At 53.6% G+C, this 24,243-nt stretch overlaps 2 protein-coding genes across 7 annotated transcripts in view, besides 2 other annotated features; one reads left to right on the top strand and one right to left on the bottom strand.

Annotated features, from left to right (window-relative positions):
* SPTB (spectrin beta, erythrocytic) overlaps window positions 1–16,404 on the top strand; it is a 133,625-nt gene extending 117,221 nt beyond the window's left edge. For all 6 annotated transcript variants that reach the window (NM_001355436.2, XM_017021612.3, XM_047431724.1 and 3 more), the window contains 4 exons: window positions 8,894–9,150; window positions 12,533–12,706; window positions 12,991–13,033; window positions 13,214–16,404. In NM_001355436.2, coding sequence (NP_001342365.1) covers window positions 8,894–9,150; window positions 12,533–12,706; window positions 12,991–13,033; window positions 13,214–13,381 — 642 coding nt within the window. In that variant the 3' untranslated portion in view covers window positions 13,382–16,404. The remainder of the gene's footprint in view (window positions 1–8,893; window positions 9,151–12,532; window positions 12,707–12,990; window positions 13,034–13,213) is intronic.
* Window positions 2,245–2,294: a silencer, noted in NCBI's record as "silent region_5841". NCBI's record gives its function as "represses an Ori minimal core promoter by ATAC-STARR-seq in GM12878 lymphoblastoid cells {active_cell/tissue: GM12878}" and the evidence as "EXISTENCE:reporter gene assay evidence [ECO:0000049][PMID:35858748]".
* Window positions 2,315–2,414: a silencer, noted in NCBI's record as "silent region_5840". NCBI's record gives its function as "represses an Ori minimal core promoter by ATAC-STARR-seq in GM12878 lymphoblastoid cells {active_cell/tissue: GM12878}" and the evidence as "EXISTENCE:reporter gene assay evidence [ECO:0000049][PMID:35858748]".
* The window catches only part of PLEKHG3 (pleckstrin homology and RhoGEF domain containing G3), a 45,826-nt gene continuing 34,020 nt past the window's right edge, over window positions 12,438–24,243 (bottom strand). The window contains exons 15-17 of the mRNA NM_001308147.2: window positions 23,832–23,945; window positions 20,232–21,651; window positions 12,438–19,705 (exon numbers count right to left, since the gene is read on the bottom strand). Of these exons, the coding sequence (NP_001295076.1) occupies window positions 18,984–19,705; window positions 20,232–21,651; window positions 23,832–23,945 (2,256 nt within the window). The 3' untranslated portion in view covers window positions 12,438–18,983. The remainder of the gene's footprint in view (window positions 19,706–20,231; window positions 21,652–23,831; window positions 23,946–24,243) is intronic.

Here is a 24,243-nt window from a genome sequence, read left to right as displayed (position 1 = left end):
ACTGCCTGTGCAGCCAGCAGCCCTGGAGAAAGGGACTGAGTATCTCGCTAGGGCTGAACGTAGGAGCTGAGACTCCTAGGTCCCTTGCGTCTCCATTCCCATAGGATTAAAGGTTTATGTGGCTTCAGGGAAGTAACCAGCACTTACGAACGTGAGGCGCTGAGCAGGCACTGGACTTGTAGCCAAGACCACCTCTTGGCCGGTGTCTGGCTGGCTCCAGCTGCTGCTGCCCCTTGGCAACCTGAGCACCTCCCCCAGCAGCAGCCTCCCTGGCAGGCAGCCAGGAGCTTTAATCAGCAGCCAGTGGTGGGGCTCTGACGTCCTTGGATGGAAGAGATGTGGGTGTGGAGACAGCAGCTGTGTTTCTTCTCGCCTGAACAAGCTCTCCCAGTCTTTCCTTCTCCTCCTGCTACTCTTTCAGACATTTTGCAGTGAATGCAAATCCTATGTTTGTTGGTAATAGGCAGACCCAGCTGGAAACAACATCAGTTTTCCCCAAAACCTGGGCATGTTCCTGTCTACCCAGTATGCCTGAGTCAGTGTGGCAGGGGTGTGTCTGCCTATACTCTGGCACTGCGCCTGGCTCCCTGGAGAAACCTGCCGTAGGCTCTTTCTGGACACCTGCCCGCTGCTGGGCATGTCCCTTTCTCCTTGCTGTGGTCAGATTTAATATTCCTGGCCCCTCTGTTCTGACGACTCTTCCTAAGTTCTTCCTTTCCAGCTGTGTTTCAGAACATCCTAGATACTGATGGCCTCAGGATGAGACTCAGTTAACATTGGAGGCATCTCAGAAATGGGTTTGAAGTGGACGATGTGACCACTGGGTGGCAGATCTGGATGGGGGAGTCAGTGTCTTCTAACTCTCTCTAATCTTTCAAATGCTGAGTGGCTGGCTCAGGGCCACTGAGCGACTAAGCAGCCAGCAGCTCCTTCAGGGCAGGGACCTGAAGAGGCCACACAGGTGGTGGGCATGGTGAAGACAGCTCCCGAGGAAGCCTCATTCTCTTCTCACGCCCTGGTGACAGTGGACCAGGTTTCTCCTCCCCTGCACACTGCCATTCCCCTTCCCCTCCATTCACTTTACCAGGTGCCCTTCTGCCCTGCATCCCTACCTGTCATCTTGGCCAGGCCCCCCAGTTGCCATCTCAGACAGACATCTGGACTCTGGGGTGCAGTGTTGCACTGGACTGCTCCCCTAACCCACTTCTCATAAGAGCCTTTCCCCATCCCTTGGCCTGCAATCCAGGGGACTCCTCACCATGTATCCCAGCCTCAGCTCCCCGCCCTGGCTCTTTCCCCCTGTTCAGCAACAGCTTCTGCTTTCTCCTTTAAGGCGTCTGTCTCTGCCCACCTTAAGTTGCCATCTCTTCATCTCTTTGGCTGCCCTCAGCTCAACAAACCATTTCTTTTTCTTCTCTTGCAAACAACTGTCTTCTGAACAGCCTTTCCAACCCACCCAGTGACAGCCCTTCTCACCCAAAGGACAAGAGCTGAGATATCAGACACCGGGCGAGGGCAACACTTCTTGGCGGCCAGAGTCACTTCTTGGCTGCTGGCTCCCCACATCCCACAGTCACCAGCACTCTTTGGTTGCCTAAGGCATCTAGCAGGGGGTCTTGTTTGGCCCCAAGCCCGTCTTCCAGCTCTGGCATGATTATGCTGCCTCTGTCAATCAGCCATGTGTTTTGCATAAGCCAGGATCATCTCATTTAGACTGTGAACCCCATCGGGCAGGTGCTTTCCTCTGGAGTGAGGATACAGGTCTCCTCTCTTGCAGGAGAATTAGTAAGAACACAGAGTTTGGTGCCAGACAGACCTGCGACCTCAACATTCCTCACTAATGTGTGACTATGGACAGGTCACTCATTCTGTACGACCCCCAGTTTCCCTCATTTGTAACACAGGTGTAATAACAGTACCTGCCTTACAGAGAGGCTGGGAGGATTGGAAGAGACAATGTAGGTAGAGCAGCTGGCACTGAGTAGGTGATCATTTAAGTCCCTTCATTTTTCTCCATCCCCCACCTCAGTCCTTCATCTCTTAAAAGTAGCATCCTCCATGTGAATTCTAACATGAATTCAGTTGTGGCACGATGCATCCCGTTGCTGCAGTCAGCCTGTTTCTGGGGTGCATCCTCAGGCCCTGGTTCTCACTGGTGTTACCTTTAGAGAGAAGACCTTGTCGCCTGTGTTCTTTGCTTGTAAATGCATCCGGGTTCTCTGAGCATCTTCAGAACCTCTGAAACACCCTGTGGTCCGGAGCCAGGTTGTGTTTCTCCTGGGAGCCTGAGGAGTTTGTTGTCTGTGTGCAGTCCCCCGCGCCACCTGCTGGTTGAGCCTGGACATACACCTTCACCTCCTTTGGCCCGGAGAAGACATTTACCCACCTGGCCATGTCCCTGGCCTGTTGTGCACATCCTCTGTGAAGACCCCAACCCCTGCCTCCCCCACCCAAGCCAGTTTCCTAGCAAGGCAGGACCCTAAAAAGTCAAGCTTACACAGACTCCTGCTTGACTTTGCAAGACTGCAAAGACCCAGAGATGGCCATCCCGCACCCATTGGGAGCCTGTGGCCTCTCCCTGTTGGTTTGACTACAATCCTGTGAGACCCCAAAAGGGCTGTGCCCTCTTCTCCACTGATCCCTGTCAACCAGCAACCAATGCTGCTTGTCCCCTGCCCTCCTCTGATGTCATGATCCCACAGCCAGTACACACAGCTCCTCAGACACCTCCCCCTGCCTCTTCCCCAAACCAGAGGACTAAAGGCAGTGCCTTCCCTTATTCAGCCCACTCTGCAATTCTCCTTCACCTCCATTTATGGTCTAGACTCCCTTGCTGCCCGCAACTGGACACCCAGAATTTCTTCCAAGCAGCGGGACTCTCTTCCTTCAGAGTGTCCCCTGCTCCGGTGGGTGGCAGCCCTCAGTGGTACAGGTGGAATCTGCATCTTCCTGATGACCTGAGGACTCCAGCAGCAGCCCCTGCCTTACAGCACAAAGGTGGAAGGGAACCTCAGATCAGCTCCTCCATATGCTGCCTTTGGGCAGAACCTGCCGGTCCCTTAGTCACATCTCAGCCACATGAGTAGCCAGCATCGCCCCTCCTGGTGCTCTCTGTCCATAGATCTCGCCTCCTGTCGGGTAAGGCAGTCCCCACCTCAGACCATGGCCTGCTTACAGGGGGGCAGCCTCCCCTCATCCCCTCTTATTAGCCTTGAGGCTCAGGGGAGGTGGGTCCTCCTGCCAAACCATGCTGCTAGCCTGACCCAGGGCCCACGGTTGGCATGGGTGGATGGTTCAGCTGGTGAGCTGGGAGGTCCTTGATGGATCTGGCCTAGAAAGAGGCAGGACTGATCCAACAGGGCCACAGGCCTCCCACTGCAGGTTCGCAGCCAGGGGGTCATGGGTGGGTCCCTGCCCAGCTACTTGGCTCCCTGCCTAGCTACTTGGCTCCCTGCCTTCCCACACCACCTGTGGTGCCCTTTCCGATTTCAGAGGCATTGTGTGGATAGGAAGCAGGGCCATGGATTCTTGCCTCAGCTCTGCTACTGACTTGCTGTGTGCTCTAATCTCAGCCCGTCACTGAGCTTTTCCGGAACCCAGTTTTCTCATCTGAGATAGGAGAGGCTGAGTCCCATGACCCCAAGGCCTCTTTCCAGCTCTAGAATTCTGAGAATCTCTTTTCTCACATCAGCTTCATCTACCCCATCTCCAGCCTCCCCCACCCCCTTCCCTGATAAGGCCCCCATTGTTGATTCTACCTACATACCCCTCCCAGAGGCATGGCTAGAAATAAAAGGCCCCAGAGAAATTCCTTATCTCTTATGAATTGCAAAAGATCTTTACATACACATACACACTCACATACTTGCAGGGCTGTGTCAGGCTCCCACACCCCTCCTCCCCCGTGAGCAAGGAGCCTGCCAGCAGCATCTGGCCATCCCTCCAGCTTGCTCTCTGCTGTTTGTGCACTTTCCCTGGGCAGATGGGAACCCCAAGAGTAACTATTTAAAAAATGGTTCTGCTTCAGAAAAGGATTTGACCTCTTGGATATATATCTAGACACAATCTTCCTCGAAGTCTTTTCTTGACAAAGTTGTGAGCTGTTTGTAAAATCCACTTGTGAATTACCAGAGCCCTCCACTCAGCAGCACGCCGTTGTCTTTGGCCGGACCTGGGGCCTCTGCCTTTGGCTTCTGGGGCCCCTCCACCTCAGTGCCCCACTCCAAGCCTTGAGGCAGGGCCTCAGGCCACTTCTGCACTACCCTAAAGGGGTGGGGCCTCAGGCCCTCCTGCACTGCTTACCTGTTCACATGGCTTCTCCCTTCCTGTCTCAAGCCTCAGAATGTTCCAACTGAAACTGGCCGAGAAAGGAGGGGCTGAGGCCTTGCCTGCCAGTGGCTGAGATTCCCATTCCCCATTTCTCAGTCCTGAGCATCTGCTACTCCAGGAACAAGAGGGTTTTTGAGATCCTTACACCAGCCCCACAGGACACTGGCCACAATAATTGCTCGGCAAAGCCCCAGGGAGGCAGGGGTGGATAGGGAGGGGTGAAGGATCATAAGAAAGCCAACATTTACAGACATGATCTCACTTTAAAAGGCTGCAAACCACCTGTGAAGTAGGTCATGGGCTCACTCCCACTAACTGAGTCAGGAAGGTTCTCTCCCTTCCCCCAGATGGAATTCCAGGGACTCTCACTCCAGGCCTGTCTGACCCAACACCTGGGAAGGGGTGGGCTTCTCAGGAGGCCCTCTGCTGTTGGTCCTGGATGGGAGAGCAGGAAGAGGGCTGAGGGAAGGGGCCAGCTCCGTCTGAGAGCTCATCGGTGTCTCTGCTCACAGGGCCTTCTAGAAATCCCTGTCCTCCTTACTCCCTCACCCCAGTGCCTCTTGGTTCTTCCTCCTTGTCCCCCTCCAGGGAGTTGGCCAGCCTCCTGGGAGCTGAGGAGGGGAAGAAAGGATTGTCCCCAAAGCCCCTTCCCCCTCTCCTGTACCCACCTTCATTACACCTCACCTTTCTCACCTGTGTCCGCTCCCCCCTCCCAGAGAGGAAGGGAAGCCCTGCCAAAGCCCAGTTCCTTCATCTCTCACCCTCATTCTTGGCCTTGGCCTTCAGGGTGGAGAGTACAAGATGCATTTTAAATTGTCTCTACAGGAGCAGTCAGGAACGCCAAAGAAATCTTTGCATACATTGGAAAACCCCCATTTTCCAAAGCCAACCTGTGACCTGGCCACATAATTTTTGATCGCACTGGCATAGCCTCTGAATGTCCCTGCCAAGGAATGTGGGCCAGGCACCCATTAAGAGGAAACAGAAGAAAGGTGGGATTAAGTTGGGAGTCAGTCCTGGCAAAATCCATCTCTATTTTCAGAGGACAGTTTTCTAAAGGAAGGAAAATGGAATGGAAGTATAGGAAGAAAATGTAGACATGGAGGTCTCTAGTAAAACCAATCCCAGGAGAGCAGAGGCTGGGTAAGAGGGGCAAACATGGCTGAGAGGGTCTGGCAAGCTTCCCTCCCTATATCTGCCATGGCTGCTTCTCTGAGACCCAAGGGCAGGGAGAGCACTGATGGTAGCAGGAGCAGCAGTGCAGCCCATGTCCCCTCCTCTGGAACCTACTCCCGCCCCTCTTGGAGGAAAAGCAGGGCCTCCCCAGATGTATACCCAAGTCAGAGCGCAGGATCCACAGAAAGACCCCAAGCCCAGGCTTCCAGTCCCATCCCTGCCTCTCCTGCTCTTCCTCCCTGCTACGGTGATCCAGGCAGGGCTTTGGGGCCTCCAGATCCTTGTGGCCAATGCTGGCTCATTGCAGACACTCTAGGGTCCAAAGGCTGCCAGATGCATAGAGAGGAGTGGCCTGGCCACAACCCTCAGGGGCGCTAAGGTGGGAAAAGATGAACACCATAAAGATGGGATAAAAGCTCAGGTCTGTCCATTTTGGGAGTGCATATTCCGAACTGCCTCCTATACCTATTAGCTTTGTTGTCACCAGGAAATGCAGAGTCCTCAATTCTTAGTCTGTCTTGGGAGAATTCGGCCAAGAGACCAAGTAGTAATGTAAGCAAAAGGTTTACTGAAGGAAAATAAAGAGCAGGGATTGTATTTATTTATTTATTTTGTGACAGAGTCTCACTCTGTCTCCTAGGCTGGAGTGCAGTGGTGTGATCTCGGCTCACTGCAACCTCCACCTCCCGGGTTCAAGCGATTCTCCTGCCTCAGCCTCCCAAGTAGCTGGGACTACAGGCACGTGCCACCACGCCCAGCTAATTTTTTGTATTTTTAGTAGAGACGGGGTTTCACTGTGTTAGCCAGGATGGTCTCAATCTCCTGATCTCGTGATCCACCTGCCTCGGCCTCCCAAAGTGTTGGGATTACAGGCGTGAGCTACCATGCCCGGCCTGGGAGTTTATTGAAGTAGACTCCAAGAGAGGAGCCAGCAGGTCCGCCTGGGAAGCAGCAGTATTCACAGCAAGAGTGAGGTAGCAGCAGAGACAATACACTCTGAAAGATGAGGCAGAGCAGGCTGCTCGAAAGATGAGCCAGCAACTAGAGAGTTCTGCCTTGCGGTTTTTATTAGGTCACACTCTATTTAGGTTCCTGCCTCTGTCTCAAGTCTCCACCTTTGTCTAATTTCCTGCCTCTATCTTATGTCTCCATCTTTTCGCCCCACCTAGTTCCCGCCCCAGGTTTGTGGGACTCTCCCTTACTGTCAGCTGATGAACCTGCAGGGGCGGGTGTCGGATATGAATCCTATCGAATGGTGATGTTGCTAATTACTGCCACTCCAGGAAGGGTGTATATTGGTATTTATTGCACGTGCATATCTCGTAGGAATTTCTCCTTTGCTTTCTTTCCCTCCTTAGCATGCAGCTGGCTACATTCCCACAGGTTAACTGCAGAGTGATGACTGGGCATCTTAAGGGGTGTCTTGGGGTGTTCCTTCCTGCATAGATATTTCCCCTCCTCTCTGCTCATATCTAGGGTGAATGTTTTGGATGGTCTCTGGGGTGTGAGACTTTCCAGACCTCCCTTTCTCAGAGGCTTTCCCACCTGCTCATATTTATCTGCCTACTCCGACAGTATAACCTTGGGCAAGTCACTTGACCTCTCTGAGCACTGGTTTTCTCATTATAGATCGAAAGCATTAGACTAAGTCAGTGGTTTCCAAACTTTCCCAGCCACATAACCCTTTCTTTAAATGAAATCTTACTGGATCCCTACCATGTAACCTGTTTACTGAACAGTCCTAATTTGATGAGATACAAACATGACCAGTTTTATCTTTCTTGCAACCACTGCCTTCCAACGTCTCCATTGAGCCCCCCTTCCCATTCCTAAGGCCACCTCAGGCAGACCCTGGTCACTTTCAGTGGATAAAAAGTCTGCCCAGTTGTTTCAGTTTAAAGCTTCGATCTGATGTCCAACATGGGGCCCACATCCTCCCATCCTCCATCCTCTGTTTCGGGTTTGCCCCATAGTCTAAAGGATTCAGACCAGGGAGGAGAACATGGTCTGCTCTCTCCTGGCTCCTTCCCTCTCCTCCCCAGCACTCTTCTGGACCTCTGTCTTCAGCTGTTGGGGCAGGGAGGAGGGAGCAGAAAAAGAACCTTTTCTGACCTCCTGGCTGAAGATGTCCTTGGTGCTTCAGGCATCCAGCTGCTTGGGGGCCTTCCTACCTCTTGCTGAAAGGTGTTTAGCAGTCAGGTCTTTGGGACCGGGTCCTGGCCAGATGGCTCCAGTGAGGCTGCCTTCCTTGGTGCTCACTTGGCACGGAGGAGACCCACCCATTCTTGCCCCACCTGGCAATGGGAGGCCGCCCGCTGCTGCCCCAATCTGTCCTGCCCTCTCTTTCTTCTGCCCCAACAGGCAAAAGGGCAGATCAGCAAGGTCTAGCATAAGGAGATGCCCAGCCAGGGAATGGCAGGTCAGCTTCCCCTTCTCGTGGGCACCTGTATGTCATACAGTGAGTGGCACCATTGGAGGCCCCTCCCTTGACTTGGGCAGGGGCCAGGCATCCCCAGGTCTCCACAGGGAGGTGCAGGGAGGTAAAGACCACAGCAGTTCCCCAAGGCTGTGCCTCCTTACGAGGGGGATTCTCAACTCCTGCTGAACATTAGATCCCATGAAATGCTCAGTAAGAGATACCAATGTGCCGACCCCCGGGGCCAGTTAACTCAGCATCTTGAGATGGAGCCTGAGAATGTTTCTTTTGAAAGCACCTGAGGTGATTGCGGAAGGCAGCCAGGGTTAGGAACCACTGCCCTGTCCAAAAAGTTCCCATCAAATGATGGAGAAAGGACCTGTTAGACCTGCTGATGGCCAGGGAGGGTCTGGGTTCTCCCTTTGTAAGGTGGCAGGGGCGGGCAGACTTAGGACCTGGTACCCTTAGTTTTAGGGCTTTAGGCACAATTTGAAAGTACCAGAAGAGTTCCCATTCAACATTCTACTATAAGTGGTTGCCGAACTTGTCTTAGCAGCAGAACTTTCCTCATACGAGTGTCTGGCTGCAGCAAGGGGAGGGGCCAGAGCTTTGCCAGCAGCATTGGAACCTGCCCCCCCTCACACCCCTTTAATGAAATAATCACTCAGGCCCCTTTGGCTCACTCTGAGAACCTTCCGTTGCTATGTTACATTGGAGAGAGGGGGCCACCCTGCAGCTCTCTGAAGGGAGAATGGGGTGGAAATGGAGCCAGAAGCACAGGCAGAGTAGAGAAGCAAGGGGGCACCCATAGCAGGTTGTGGGAGAGCCAGGGTGGGCCAGGAGGTGGGAGTAGAAAGGAAGTAGGCTTGGGGGTGTGGAGAGGGTGGCTGCTGACCTCCCAATTTTGCTGAGAACAGCCATCTCTAAGCCAGAGTACCCAGAAAGGTGTGCTCCTCCCTATGCCCTGAGCAGGGGGAAGAAGAGGGAACGTGGCCTCAGAACCTGCAGCAGCCACCACCGCCGGGTCAGCACAAGGATGGGCAGAAATCCACTGGGGATGAGAGGCCCACCACGGAGCCCCTCTTTAAGGTCCTAGATACGCCTCTGAGCGAGGGTGATGAGCCCGCAACGCTGCCGGCCCCGCGGGACCATGGGCAGAGTGTGCAGATGGAAGGCTACCTGGGCCGCAAGCATGACCTGGAGGGGCCCAACAAGAAGGCTTCCAACAGGTGAGTGCGGGAGAGGCTGCTGGCTGAGGGTAGGTTGGGCAGCTCTCAGGGATCTCTCTGCTAGCAGAGCCTTGGTGACATGGGCATGTGCTGGGGGAGGGGTGCCTTCTGCCTTGGCCTGTGAGAGCTCCTAGACACCCCTCTGGGCCAGCCCCGAGGGCTACTTGGCATGATGGGAAAGCCTATCTCCAGTTCTGGTCCTGAATTCAAATCCTGTGTCTTCATGCAAGTTACTCAACCTCTTTAAATCGGTTTCCCCATTTGGAAGGAGAGGATGAGAACAGTATGTCTTTTCACTACAGATACTGTTCCTGGCACACAGTAGGCACTTGGTGAACACTAGCTGTTATTATCCTATTATCCCAGGGCTAGGGATAGGTAGCTCTAAAGGTTAGGTAGGTCTTGGCACTAACAACATCCTTGTTCGAGCCCCGCTTTTTACCAGTCTAGGCCTCGGTGTCCTCAGCTGTAAAATGGGAGTGATGGGGATGGGGCATGGCCTAGTTGCCCCCCAGAGGTCCCTTCTAATGCTGTCATCTGGTGACTCTATGACCCCGAGAACTGACTCAAAGGCTGCGTCCTTTCCTGACCCTGAAACAGTCATGTCCTTGGGTTTGGTCTATCTAGGGCTGTCTCTGCCTGGGGCCCCCAGGGGCCTCCTCTTTCTAGCAGCAGTCCAGGGTCCCAAGAAAATAGGGCAGCACCAGGAGGTTGAAGCCAGCCATATTCCCAGGGACAGCTGGCAGCATGAGCATGCAGGATGTGTCTGGGGGACTCACGAAAGGGATTCCAAATTCCAAAAAGGAACCATTTGGGGGCCCAATTGCCCTGAAGAGGTTTATTTATTGCTTAAATGGAGAGTCTACCCAGAAAGGGGAAACTAACATTTACTGAGCATCTACTATGTGCCAGGCATTATATTAGGACTGATAAAATCTTCCCAACAATCCTGTGACATTGATGTTTCTATTTTCCAAGGGGATAACAGAGTCTCGGAAAGGTTAAGTCATTTGTTCAAGGCAAGCTCTTTCTCCAAAGACCCAGCTCCTTCTTAGTAACTGCCTTTCTGCCAGAGGAAAGATCCCTGAGCGCGGAGTCAGAAATGGGGCTTCGTAAAATGGCTTTGCAGCCAGCTTTGTATGGGTCAGTTTCTCTCTCTGACCTTCCAGAACTTCCTCCCTATGTGCCCTACTAGTTTCTCCACCTTCCTGCCCTCAAAAGTAAGGGAGAAGAGGGAGAGGAGAGGAGGGAGACAGAAGAGGAGGATGAAGAGGAGGAGGAAACAGAGTCTGTTGCTGTAGAAATGCAGCAACATGCTTCCCACGTGTGAGTGAAGCGGCTCGGGCTAGCCCACCTGTTATCAGTTTGATTCCCTCACCAAACATGCCAGTTGACATGAGCCCTATTTGTCTTTTTTTGTGTTTTGTTTTGTTTTGTTTTGTTTAGACAGAGTCTCACTCTGTCACCCCGGCTGGAGTGAACTGGCTCAATTTTGGCTCACTGCAACCTCCGCCTCCCAGATTCAAGTGATTCTCCTGCCTCAGCCTCCTGAGTAGCTGGGATTACAGGCACGTGCCACCACGCCTGGCTAATTTTTTTTTTTTTTTTTGCATTTTTAGTAGAAATGGGGTTTCACCTTGTTGGTCAGGCTGGTCTCGAACTCCTGACCGCATGATCCGCCTGCCTCAGCCTCCCAAAGTGCTGGGATTACAGGTGTGAGCCACCACGCCCGGCCGACATGAGCCCTATTTGTAAAATTTGTTCCTTTAAAAAGTTTAGTATACTTGGCACATCTCATCAAAACAGAAAACAATCACTGAAACAAAACCCTGTTCATTCCTTCACAGTTCTTTAGTGAGAATCAAATACACTGATGGATGTAGAAATATTGTAAAAAGTTAATTTTTTACTGTTGGTCTTAAGACGTAATAGTTCTATAAGTGTACTTCAAGGTAAGATCAGAATTATAGGCACAGATTTATGTGTAAGAATGTTCATCACATTGCTATTTAAATTATGGGCACATTTTCCAGTATTATAAGGTTCATCAATAAAGGGATTGTGAAAGTCTTCCACATAGCTATTCAAAATTATTTTAAGAAATATTTGAGGATAGGGGCCGGGCGTGGTGGCTCAGGACTGTAATCCCAGCACCTTGGGAGGCTGAGGTGGGTGGATCGCCTGAGGTCAGGAGTTTGAGACCAGCCTGGCCAACGTGGTGAAACCCTGTCCCTACTAAAAATACAAAAATTAGCTGGGTGTGGTGGCTTGCGCCTGTAGTCCCAGCTACTCGGGAGGCTGAGGCAAGAAAATCGCTTGAACCTGGGAGGCGGAGGTTGCAGTGAGCTGAGACTGCACCACTGCATTCTAGCCTGAGTGACAGAGGCTCTGTCTAAAAATATGTATATTATATATAAATATTATATATTATATATATTATGTATAATATATAAATGTTATATACTATAAATGTTATATATTATATAATATATAATTGCTACATATATAATATATAACATAATGTATAATATATAATGTATTATATATAATGTATAAAATATACATTATATGATGTATAAAATATGTATTATATAGTATATGATATATAATGTAATATACATATTTTATATATTTATATATTTCATATAAATATATATTATACATAATAGGTATATATGTTATATAATAAATATGTAAATATTATATAAATTATATAATAAAAGTATATATAAATATATATTACATATATACTTTTTTTTTGAGACTAAGTCTCGTCTCTGTCACCCAGGCTGAAGTGCAGTGGCTCAATCTCGGCTCACTACAAGCTTCGCCTCCCGGGTTCAAGCGATTCTCCTGTCTCAGCCTCCTGAGTAGCTGAGACTGCAGGCATGCGCCACCAAGCCCGGCTAATTTTTGTATTTTTAGTAGAGATGGGGTTTTACCACGTTTGCCAGGCTGGTCTTGAACTCCTGACCTCAGGCGGTCCGCCCGCCTCGGCCTCCCAAAGTGCTGGGATTACAAGTGTTAGCCATCTTGCCTGGCAAAAAAAGAAATATTTGAGGATATGGAGAAATACTCATGATTTAGTGTTATGCTTAGAAACACGATATAAAATTGAATATATCCATAACCCAGTTTTAGCTATCTGTGACTAGTAAAAAAAAAAATGCGAAAATGTGAAGACTAGAAGGAATACATAAAATGTTAATAATAGCTAATTTTTTGTAATGAAATTACATGCAGATGATTTTTTAACAATAAAACATGTTACTATGTATCAGAACAAACATGGTGTAATTTTTTTTAATGGTGAAGCTATAGGAATTGACTCTAGAGATACCATATCAGGATGTGGGTGACCTGCCTGTCTGCATCTTTGCAGGTCCTGGAACAACCTGTACTGTGTGCTCAGGAACAGTGAGCTAACCTTCTACAAGGATGCCAAGAACCTGGCCCTGGGGATGCCCTACCATGGGGAGGAACCCCTGGCCCTGAGACATGCCATCTGTGAGATTGCTGCCAACTACAAGAAGAAGAAGCACGTCTTTAAGCTGAGGTGAGGCCTTCCTGGCCTTTGAAAGCTCGGGTTGATGGCTTGATTTGGCATTAGTGGCAGGGCAGAGGCCCTCTGTAGGGGACCAGTGCCAGGCCTGAGCTGCTCCTCAGGGGTTTTTCAAATCAAAGAGGCTGATGGTCCAGACTTTGACCTCTCAGAAAGTGCTGGGCTGCCTGAGAGGGGTCTGGATGTTCGGCTCAGGGTATTGTGGGATCAGAGCCAGCCCTCTGCCCAGCGCCCCCTCCAGAGGTGTCTCCATGACAGGAAACCCTTTGTCCTCCTAGGCTGAGTAATGGCAGCGAGTGGCTCTTCCATGGCAAGGATGAGGTAAGCGCGGGCAGCCTAGCCCAGACCTGGCTAAGAAGGGGGTAGGTGGAGGACCCCAGGCCGCTTGCCCTGGAGGCCCCCTCAGAAGGGGCAGTCCCAAGAGCCCCCACCATTGTTGCCTGGCCCGGGAGGTGGGGGGCTGTGGGCCTCCAGACTCCACCGTGACCCTCCGCCCCGCAGGAGGAGATGCTGTCCTGGCTGCAGGGCGTGAGCACCGCCATCAACGAGTCCCAGAGCATCCGCGTCAAGGCGCAGAGCCTGCCCCTGCCTTCCCTCTCCGGCCCCGACGCCAGCCTCGGCAAGAAAGACAAGGAGAAGAGATTCAGCTTCTTCCCCAAAAAGAAGTAGCAGGTGGGGCTGGCGGGCGCGGCGGAGTCGGGACGCGCAGAGACCGGGCAGCCCAGGCCTTGGCCTCCTCTCGCCGCCGCCCGCCGGTCGAATCGAGATGAGTCGAGTCGCGGGCCGGGCCCCCGGGCCCCACGCTGCACTGCAAAAGCTGCCTTCGCCCGCGTGTCCTGGGCCGACGCCCCCTCCATGCCCTCGCCCGCGCTGGCTCCGCTCCAGGGACAGGGGCTCCCAGCTCCTCTGGCGCCTTTGGGGCCTCCAGGCCTGGGGGCAGGAAACGGTTCTCTGAGGCACACGCCCTCCTCTCCCACCCTCCTCCTGAGCCGAGGGGGCACAGGCCCCTTACCCCCAACCAAAAAAAAAAAAAAAAAAGAGCTGGAGAAGGCTGATGGGGTTCTTCAAACGCTGCCCGTTCCTAAAGCAAGTCTTGCTTCGGGTCACCTCCCACCTGGTGGCAGCCAGGGAAAGGGGAAAGGAAGAAGACACTGGAAATGCATGGCCAGCCCCCTAGGGGCATGAGGAAGGAGCCTTCAGGTGGCCCACAAAGCCCTAGCTCTGGGCCAGGGGCTCTGGGGGGCTGAGGGGACCAGACTGGGTGCAGGGCCTTGGGAGCTGCCAGCCTCCTTCCCACTGGGCTTCCGCAGAACTGGGACTCTCACTTCAGGGGCCACCACATCCCTCCTCTCTGCTTCTCCCCCCAGATCAAAGGGTACCCTCCCACGGTTGGCAGGGCCTGGCTGAGTGCCTCTAGCACCCTTTGTGCCACCACAGGCGGTCCCAGGAAGGGCAGCAAGGTCAGACCATTCCTCATTGAAAACCGTGGCTAGGGCACAGGGCTCTGATCTGAAGGAGTGACAGGTGCGTCACAACACTGCCTAAGGCTCTCCCTCTCAATGCTGGGACCCTCGCCCCACTCCCAGTGGCAGCCAAACCAGCAATATCCAACAGACATAGGCCCCCTACGGGACAGTGTGGGCCCCCAGATATAAGATGGATACCCCCCGCACCTGCAGTAAAGCATCCCAAAGCCAAATGCTCAATTGCATCCTGTCTGCAGCTGGGACTTTGGAGGGTAATGGCTGGGCAGACAGTAAAGTTGATCATCTGTTTTCTCGGGGTGGCAGACGCAGCCATGTCTTGGTATCACCACCCATGTGACAGCTACTCCTGCACAACTGGGACAAATGTCAGGGCCAGAGCCATGAAGGTGTGGTACCCCTTGATCAGCTTCTCCACGTCCTGGCCCCAGGTCTTGGCGGGGAGGGGGTCACATGAGTACAGAGGTCAAATATCTACCACCCTCCAGCCCTGAGCACCAGAAGCTCTGCAACCAACGTCCCCAGGAATGGCCTTCCCCTTGCTGCTCAGGTCATACTTCTGGAGGAAGAGAAAGCTCATTCCATATTTTCCCCACCACTCTACTCCGAAAGCAACACAGTTCTGGCCCAGTATCAAACTAGGGTTAGGTCCAAGAGAGCAGTCAAGCGGGTCGGGGGTGGGGGGGAGGGCGGAGGGCAGCAGGCATTTTCCCCCAAGGAAACCATGAAAGTCCCCAGGGCCTGCAGTCAAGTTTCTATCACCTTCCCCGTGAGAAGGACCTTAGTTCCATGGAGATGAAGTGGGTGAGGTTCAGGTAGAAGCCACAGGGGCAGGCATCCAGAATGAGGCCCCCTGAGGAACCCTGAGTGCTGACCAGTGCCGGCAGAAATCAGTTCCACCCTGTGGCCCTGACACTATATGTCAGGGTGACACCAACTGCAGCAGGCAGGAGCCACAGGAAGGAAGACGTCATCCGATGGAGCCTGACATCCCCAGGTTCCCGCCCTGGTGAGCAAGGTCTTCATTTGGCTTTGGTACATATGACCCTATACAGGGAACCTAGTGTGTATCACTCACCAGCCTCTTTCTGTATCTGGGGAAACCAAGGCAGTGAGGTGACTGCACTCACCTAGCAATAAAGTAGGCCTTTGGTGCACTTGCAGGCATGTCCTCCTCTGGGGCAGAGAGCAGGTTCCTTGCTGAAGGGCAGATGGTGGCAAACATCTCCCTCAACTGTTTCCCTGGGCCAGTCTTTAGGGAGCCTAGGGACAAGGGCCCACCCTCCCCCTTCCACGTGTGCCAAATCAGCACCTGAAGTGAGGCATTTCCAGCAAGCAACTCCACAGACCCGAGAAAGGAAGGGCTCTAGTGGAAGAGCTAGCATCTCACCACCCCAGGTCCCCTGGCCTGGTCCAGGGCAGCCAGCTGCATGTGACCATTCTGTTGCCAGCTCCCCACACATCCCTCCTGTCACCCAGGCTCCAAGACATTCGACCAACTAGACTGAAAATGCAGGCATCCAGCTTTGGGAGACCCTGTGTGTGCCACACCAGGGCTAAGCTCTCCCAGTGCCCTAGCAAGGTCTTTTTTTTTTTTTCTCTCCTTATTCTACTCTACAGTCTTTTGACAGTATTCCCAAACGAGGTTGACACAGCTCCAGTCCACACCAGCATACCAGGCTTCCTTCCCAGGGCAGTTTAGAGGAAGCTCCTTCTGGGCAAGGTCAGGCGGTCCTCCTTCCCTCTCTCCTTCCCCTTTGTCCCAGCCTCAACTGACTCTGGCTGTGGGAGGTGTGGAGGGTCCTTAGGCTTCCCTCCCCAACCTGGCCTCCACCAACACCCCTAACAGGAGGCCCGTGGAAGGCTCAGCCTCTCCTCCGCATCCCTCCTCCTTCCTGCCTATCGGAGGGAGCCAGGGTCCCCTAGGCTGACCCTGAATCCTCTTCCTCCCTTCATGGGAGGGGGGCAGGAATCCAGAGGAGGATGAAGCCAGCGGGACCACATGGCTTGGTGGCTTGGACAAACAAGCTCAGGGAGGAAATGAGGAGGCGGCGGCTGCAGAGGAATGCAACCCTGTTGGGCACAGACCATGCAATCTGGGGCTGGCCCTGGGGCCAGCTGGGTCCTGTCCTCCACCTGCTCAACCGTGCTTCCACCAACCAGAGGAAACCCATTTACTAGTTTTTCTAATAAATCAATAATGCTCCATGTTTCTCTCAGTTTCTTATTTAACTAGCCTCCTCTCCCTTTGAACTGAGCCTAAGAGGGCTGGCACCATGGAGACAGAGGGACAGCCAGATTCTCTAGCTTGTCCCTGGGAGCCTTATGGGACGACTGCAAGCACCCGGTTCCTGGGCTTCATCACAAACTCCAAGAAAAGCTTGCTCATTCATGCATTTGATCAACTTGAAGGCCTACTGTAGGGCAAAATCATTTCCAAGCAGTGATCAGTCCAGGCCCCTCCCCACAGAGCTCAGGACAGATCTCAGCACTCACTGGACCGCAGAATCATCAGAATCTCTAAGCCTGGGATTCACCTCCAGAGGGCAGTTTCTGTTGGTCTAGGGAGATGGAATGTAAGCACTGCGTTTCCAGAAGGCTCCCCAGATAATTCCAATGGGCAGCCAGTGAGAACCACCGACCTGGTGCAAGGTTCCCAGGCATACCTAGATGGCCGTGTAAGGACTGCCTGGGGAAGGGGTTAACTACAACTTCCTGGGCCCCACCCTCTGAAGAGCCCCAGTCGGGTTCTTCAAGGGAAGATCAGAGGCTAGTGACAACCTCTCTTGAGCAGAAGCAGCGCAGGGCAGAGATAGCCCCTGGTCTGGCAGCTGCCCTGAATCTTCTGTGGTCATTCCACAGTCACTGGCTCCTGCCAGGCCAGTCTCAAGATATGATGCTGAGTAACCACAAGGGCACTGGACAGTGTGAGGGTCAGGGAGGCGGAGGTTGCAGTGAGCCAAGATTGCACCACTGCGCTCCAGCCTGGGCGACAGAGCAAGACTCCGTTTCAAGTGGGGGATAAAAAAGAATCTGGGTCCCTCTGATCTTCCCTTGACCTTGTTAGACTTAGCAGACCCATCTTCAGGTTGGGTCAGAAGGCCCACAGGGCCCTGACCCAGCAGCCCTGCTGAACACTTGTCAGGCAGCTCTACCACCCAGGCCCTGAAGCCTCTACCTCCCAGGCCCCAGCTAGAAAAAAAATTAAGCAAAATGAGTCTGGACCTCTGTGGAGAAAGGGCAGAAAACCCAACTGAAATAGGGAGGCATTCCTAACTCTTCTGAATCAAAGATACTTCTGAGAATGTGATAAAAAGGGAGGAATCATCCCAGAAAAATGCACTTGTACTCCTCATCCAATGTTGCAGACACCTTTAGGACATTTCTAGTCTCCGAGTTTAGAATCCTTACCTTCAGCCGCATGCAGTGGCTCACCCCTGTAATCCCAGCACTTTGGGAGGCCGAGGTGGGTGGATCACCTGAGGTCAGAAGTTCGAGACCAGCCTGGTCAACACGGCGAAACCCCGTCTCTACTAAAAATACAAAAAATTAGCTGGGTGTGGTGGCTCATGCCTGTAGTCCCAGCGACCTGGGAGGCTGAGACAACGAGAATTGCTTGAACCTGGGAGGCGGAGGTTGCAGTAAGCCAAGATCACGCCATTGCACTCCAGCCTGGGTGACAGAATAAGACTCTGTCTCAAAAAAAAAAAAAAAAAAAATCCTTGTCTTCTAGGATGTTTCCTGGGGACCGGAGAGAAACGCAAAAGGCACCAGATACTGGGAGCATCTGCTTATGAGAAAAACAGTCTATCCACCTCACCACCTCCCTTTTTCTTGGTCCAACTCTGGCCCTTGGGGAAAAGAGCAAAAGGCTGGCATGCGGGACCCCCTACCCTAGACAGGACAGCAGGCTGCTGCTAGACAGAGAAGCCCATGGGAGTCTAGGCAGCAGAAAGAAAAAGCCCGCCCTCACATCCTCCTGCCCCACCTCCCCCACCAGTACCCGGGTGCCTTATGTTTCATAAGCCCAAGTGACAATTGAGTGTGGAAGGAACAACCTCCATGTCTCCATCTCCCTAAGACATCCCTGGCCCATGAATAACCTTCCCTACCCCAGCCAAGCCTAGGAAGGAGTTCACACATAGTGGGTTGGTCAGCAGTGGTTATTGCACCATTGGCAAATAATGAAATGTGTGTACATCAGCGACAACCACAGGGTCAGCACAACAACCCTCAAAAGTACCTGAACTGAATCCACTTCATTCTTGACAGGAGGGGAATAAACAGGGGCCACACACTCACGCACACGCACATCATACCACAGAATGGAAAGCAATAAATTATTGGCTTCATTCCTGCCTGGACCCTAAGAAAAGGCACCGTTACAGAACAAAGCCTCTCCAGGCCACTGCCTGAGTCTCCTGGGGATGGGCTCCTCCATCTGGCTGTGGCCATGGCCAGCCAACGCTGGAGGCCTGAGCAGAGCTTCCTCTCTCTGGGAAGAAGTGAGCTTAAATATTTGGCTTCTTACCAGAGAACAACTATTTACAAGGGAAGCAGCCACACCGGCCTCACAGGTGAGTGGGAAATTGTCTCGAGCCCCAGTGGATGGCACAGGCAGGAGACCCCTGCACACGGGAGCATCCTTCCTGAAGGGCGGAGGGGATGGACTTTCCGCCCACCTGAGGGCCCTGGGCAGGGGCTCCATGAGCCCAGGCTTGAGGGGAAGGATGCCCAGGTTCTTCCCCAACCTCCAACATGACTCCTCCCTCCCCCAGGAGTCAGCATCAACCGACAGAGTTCAAGGCCTGGAACTTCTCTCTAAGGTTTCTCACTCTGCCCTGCTGGCTCGGGTCTGCCGGGTCCCTGGAACCCTCTTCCTTCGGCTGGCACTCTGCAGACTGCTGGAAGTCCTGAACCTGCCCCAGCAGGGCCACCGGTGAGCTTGGTCCCTGGCCACTGCTCTCCTCCAGCCCTGCAGTGGGGCTGGGAAGGGGTCCCTTCTCCATGACAATCACCCGCCGGTTGTCCTCCAGGGTGAGGTCTGCAGTGACATACAGGGTCTCGCCTCCATCCGGCTTGCTCTGGGGCAGAGGCCCAGGGGATTGGGCAGCCTCTCCGCCTCCCCGGCCCCTCTTGGTGCTCAGGCTGCGGCAGCGGCCCACCCTGCCCGACAGAGGTGGCTCTACCATGTTCTCCGGCACCGAGTGGCTCCTGTTGACGGGTGGGCCGCGGGGCCGGCCGCCCCCTGCTCGGCGTGCCTCATCGCGGGAGGCATACTTGGAGCAGAGCTCACGGACGTCGGGCCAGCTGAAGGTCTCTGTGGGGCTGAGGGGGCTCCGGGCGGAGGGCCGGCCCCCAGGCGAGGTGGTCCTCTGGCTGACAGCAGACGGGTTGAAGAAGAAACGCTGTGGTGACATCTCCCCAGCCGAGGAGGGCTTGGGAGGGCTGTGCTCCTGGGCCATCAGCTGCTCATAGTCAAATAGAGACAGCACCGGCTTCCTCTTACCTATGAGGAGAGAGCAAGCTGCCTGAAGCATGGGGCGGGAGGGCAGAGCTGCAAGGGGGTGCTCTGAGCAGGCCCCAACTCACTTTCCAGGCAAGGCTGGTTGTTGGGGTTTTGGGTGTGATGGGAGAAATCTCACTTACCATCCACAGCCTCTTTCATGAAGGGCCATAGGAAGAATGAAGAAAAGGCAGTGGAAAGGGGTCAGGAGTCAAAGGCAGAGGGGGAGAGCTTCTGCTCCCATCCTGCTAAAGGAGGGGCCTGGGGCCATGCTTCCTCCAGAAGCCTCTGCTGGATGGGAAGGGCCAGAGCAGAGGGCATCAAAAGGGCTTAACCAAGAGAGCAAGCTTGGCCTCAGAGCACTGGACTGGCTGCCAGGGCTCACCCTGTGCCCTTAGTGCCCAGGGTCCAGCTTCTCCCTTTGGTAGAGCCTCCTTAGAGGTCACTTTCCCCGAGGAGCCAAGTGGCTCCTTATTGACTCTTCAGTCCCTAGACTTGGGGAAGGGCCCACTTGCCGCTTCTGTCATACCTTTGCCACCTAATGGCTCTCCAGCCTCTTCCTGTAGACAGGGCACAGTGGGGCTCTTCCCATCCCTCTCAGGGGCCACCTTTTCCCACTGCAGTGGTGGCCTGGCCATCACTGGCTTGTTGCTCTTGATCCGGAGGCTGTACTGGCGGGCCAGCTGGTAGACCTTGTTCTTGACGCGCTCGCTCACGTGGCTGTCCATTACGTGGGAGAGCTGCACGATGCGGGGGTGCAGTGGGGCCACCAGCTCCCCCTGGGTACTGCTGCTCAGCTCCTTCACCAGCTCTTTCAGCTCCCGGGCCAGGTGGGCCGGGCTGCGCCCCTCAGTGGGAGAGGAGCTTTCCGGGGAGGCAGTGGCCGACTCCTCTGTGATGGCTCCCAGCTCATGCTCCTCCAGGATGAAGAGTGGCTCATGCAGGTCAAAGCCATTGGCCTGGCCCTGGCCTGGCCCCTTCCCAGGGCTCCCTCCGGAAGACTCCATTCCCTCCCAGATCTTCACAATTTCTGAAGATGGGCGGAACTCAGCATCTGAGATGGGAGGTGGGTCCCCTTTGACTGCCTGGCTTGGTCCTGGGAGCTCAAACAGGGCCCACGAAGTCGGCCGGGAGCCCACCTGTCTCTTGCTCCCCACTGGAGGTACTGGCTCTGGGTCTGGCCGGGGAAGGCTGTTGAACCTGGAGATGGAGTTTCTTACCAGTCCTTTGGGGATGTAGGAGAGGCTCTCCCGGCGACGGACGCTGAAGCCTGCATCATGGTGTTCTGCATTTTCATAATAGCTCTTAATCTTGTCTAGCAACAGCCGGTCTCGGGTGGAGAGTGCTGATTCCTTCTTCTTGCAGGAAGACCGGTCAGGCTCCACTGGGCAGCCTGGGCTTGGGGGCTCCATCCCATTGACAGAAGGGCTGTCCTCTGTGGCCACCCCCACACTGATGTCCACTTCTGGGGAGAGCTGACAGCTGAGGGAGTCTGTGGCACTGCCATGCCGGGCCAGGCCCTTCTCGCTGCCCTCCAGGCTGAGCACGCTGCTGCTCCGGCTGACCAGCCGCGGGCTCCCAAAGCCACTGGACTTGCTGTCCTCCTGTGCCACGCTGCTCCGCCGAGAGAAGCTGCTGACAAATCGCTCCGCAATGACGCTGGCCTGGTCCAGCACAGAGGGTGGCAGAAGGCTCTCAGGCTCCTGGGCGGCACCTCCCATTTCTTCTTCCTCCTCGCTGCTCAGGGCCTTAAGGTCCTCAGTGCTCTCAGCTGCCACGAAGTCCACCATGTCACCTGGGGGGTCCATCCCCAGAAGGCCCTGGTGGGCATCAAGCTGTGTCTCCAGGACTTCTGGAGATTCTGTGTCTGAAGGCGTCTCCTCGGCACTGGGCCCTTCCACAGCAGAAAATACCTCTTGCTCACTCCCAGCCTCAGGGTCCGGCTCAACCTGAAACATAGCAGAAAAGGCTCACATGAGTAAAAAGCCTCCTTCATGGGATCCGGGGAACAAGGGGACAGCATGGCCTGCTCAAGGCCCAATGACAGGGACCTGTAGTTTAGGACTCAAGGCAATCAGAATGAGCACGACTTAGGAGTAGGTGATGGGTCCTTAGAGGAACATGACTGTGTCCTTTAGTCACCGTACAGTGGGGGTGCTGGGCCCATGTCCTCAAAACCAAGGAAAACAGTAAGAATGCAGATGGGTCAGGATGGCAACACCTTGATGGCAGCCAGCCTAGGAGCTACAGGGACAAGGTGGGAACACACAACAGTGGGTTGGGCATGGCCCCAGGTTCCCAGGGGCTGGTTCTCACAGTGTCATGGAACCAGCATGGCTGATGGTGAGGCAGCTCCCCAAAGCCCTAGAGGCTCCTCACTTGGAGGTTCTAGGGTTCAAACCCAGACCTGCACAACATGAGAGGCCATTTCATTTTCCTCAGGGGACAGGGCCTCCCATGTGGATTAGGGTCTAGAGAGCAACACAGCCACATGCTGGAATCTCGTCAGAGGATGAGGACCAGGAATGTGGCTCCTCCCAGTACCTGTGGGCCCAGCACAACTGCATATGCCCAGGAAATGGGCAAGGAAGAAAGCAAACTTGAGAATTCCCTCTTGACCACCTTGAAAGTAATTTGAACCACAGAACTGATGACATACGCGGCTTTCCAGAGCAGTCTTTAAGGAGATAAGAGCAAACACTAATTATAAGATCGGACATAATTCCTTCTGTTCTAGTTCAGAATCTGCAGAGCAAGACCCATGATCTAGACTTGCACTGTTCAACATGGGAGCCACCAGCCACTGTGGCTTTCTGAGCACCCGAAATGGGGTTAGGCCAGATGGAAACCTGCTCTTGGGATAAAATACACACCAGATTGCAAAGACTCTGTATAAAAAAAGGGATAAAACATATCAGTAACTTTTTATGTTGATTACATGTTAGAATAATACTCTGTATACATTGGGTTAAATAAAATATACTACTAAAATTAATTTCATCTGCTTCTTTTAAACTTTGTAATGGGTGGTTCTCATTGTATTATTATTTGACACCCCAATTTGCTCTGCTCTGAATGTCTGTGTATCTCTAAAATTGCCATGTGGAGGCTAACACCCAGTGTGATGGGAATGAGAGGGGGGGCCTTTGGGAAATTAGGTCACAAGGGCTCCATCCTCATGAGTGGGGTCAGATCCCTTACAAATGAGGATCAAGGGAGCTTCCTTGCCCCTTTGCCATGTGAGGACACAGCAAGAAGCCACCATCTACGAAGCAGAGGGCAAGCCCTCCCCAGGGTCTGCTGGCATCTTGACCTTAGAATTTCCAGCCTCCAAAACTGTGAGCAATAACTAAGCTACCCACGTAGCAGTAAGGGATTTTGTTACAGCAGCTCAAGCTAAGACATCATGCTACATTCCTGTCCAGTATCATCCAGGCTTCTCAGTCCTGGCTGTGGGGTCCAACATGGGGTCCAGGCTGTAGCTCACGATCTTTCCCTTATAACTTTGGGAAAGTAAAGGATGCTGCTTCCTACAACCCACAGACAGCATAGGGCAGCAGGAGGAGGAGAGTGGGCCTCTGAGTCCCAGCCCCAGGTCTGATCTCAGCCCCGCGCCTCAGAAGCTGCTCAGTGTTAGGCACGCCATCAACCACTCAGTGCCCTTTTCCTTCTAGAGCCATTGTGGGGAAGAGTAGGAAGAAATAACACATCAGTTACAGAGGAGGTGTCCAACAGATATCAGTTCTCTACCCTTTGCCCAGGTGACCACAGGTGTGATTTCAATGTCTGGCATGCTGGCAGGGACAGGGCCTTATAACCCATACAAGGTGGCCTAACGAAAGGAGCCTAATACCTGGTTCATTTCCACTAGCTGCGTGCCCTTGACATGGGACTGCATCTGCCCAAAGGGGAGCCTTTCTCTACTTCATAGAAAGGGGTGGTCTGCTCACCAAACCATATACTCTAGGCCAAACAGGCTTCATGCAGGGCTGAGAGTCCTGGGAGGTGGGGAATCTCTGTTCCCATGGGCCCAGTGGGAGAGCCTGTGCCTGAAAGCCCTATTTGCAGACTTGAAAATCTGGACTCCAAGTTCTTCCTACTATCCCCATCCCACCTGCTGGTCGCTCACCTCTGGCAGGGAAGAAATGGACTCGAAGCTCATGCGCTTCTCAGTACTGGTTGGAGACCGGCCACTGGGCCTTCTGCTGCTCCTGGAGCTTTCAGACTCCCTGCGCCCCTTTCCCTGCAGAGGTAGAGGTCAGTCATCAACTCCAAGACAACTGGAAGCTGATCCCTTCTGCATCCCAACACGGGCAGTGCCTCCCACGCCCCAAGGGGCTGGGCTGAGCTGAGAGCCAGTCTTGGACCTGAGCCATTCCAGAGCCAACCTGAACTGCCAGGCCTGGGGCTGCGGAAAGCCTTGTCAGGCATGCAGCTTCAAAAAACCTCAGCCCACCTTTCTGTCCCTCCAAAGTGGACTTGACCTTTCCAGCCCCACTGTGTGCTAGCTTCTCCCTGCCCCCACCACCCCACCCCACTTG

This window comes from Homo sapiens, chromosome 14 (assembly GCF_000001405.40).
Source record: "Homo sapiens chromosome 14, GRCh38.p14 Primary Assembly".
Taxonomy (NCBI): Eukaryota; Metazoa; Chordata; class Mammalia; order Primates; family Hominidae; genus Homo; species Homo sapiens.
The sequence above is the reverse complement of the archived record's forward strand: the minus strand, read 5'-3'. Positions and strand labels throughout refer to the sequence as shown.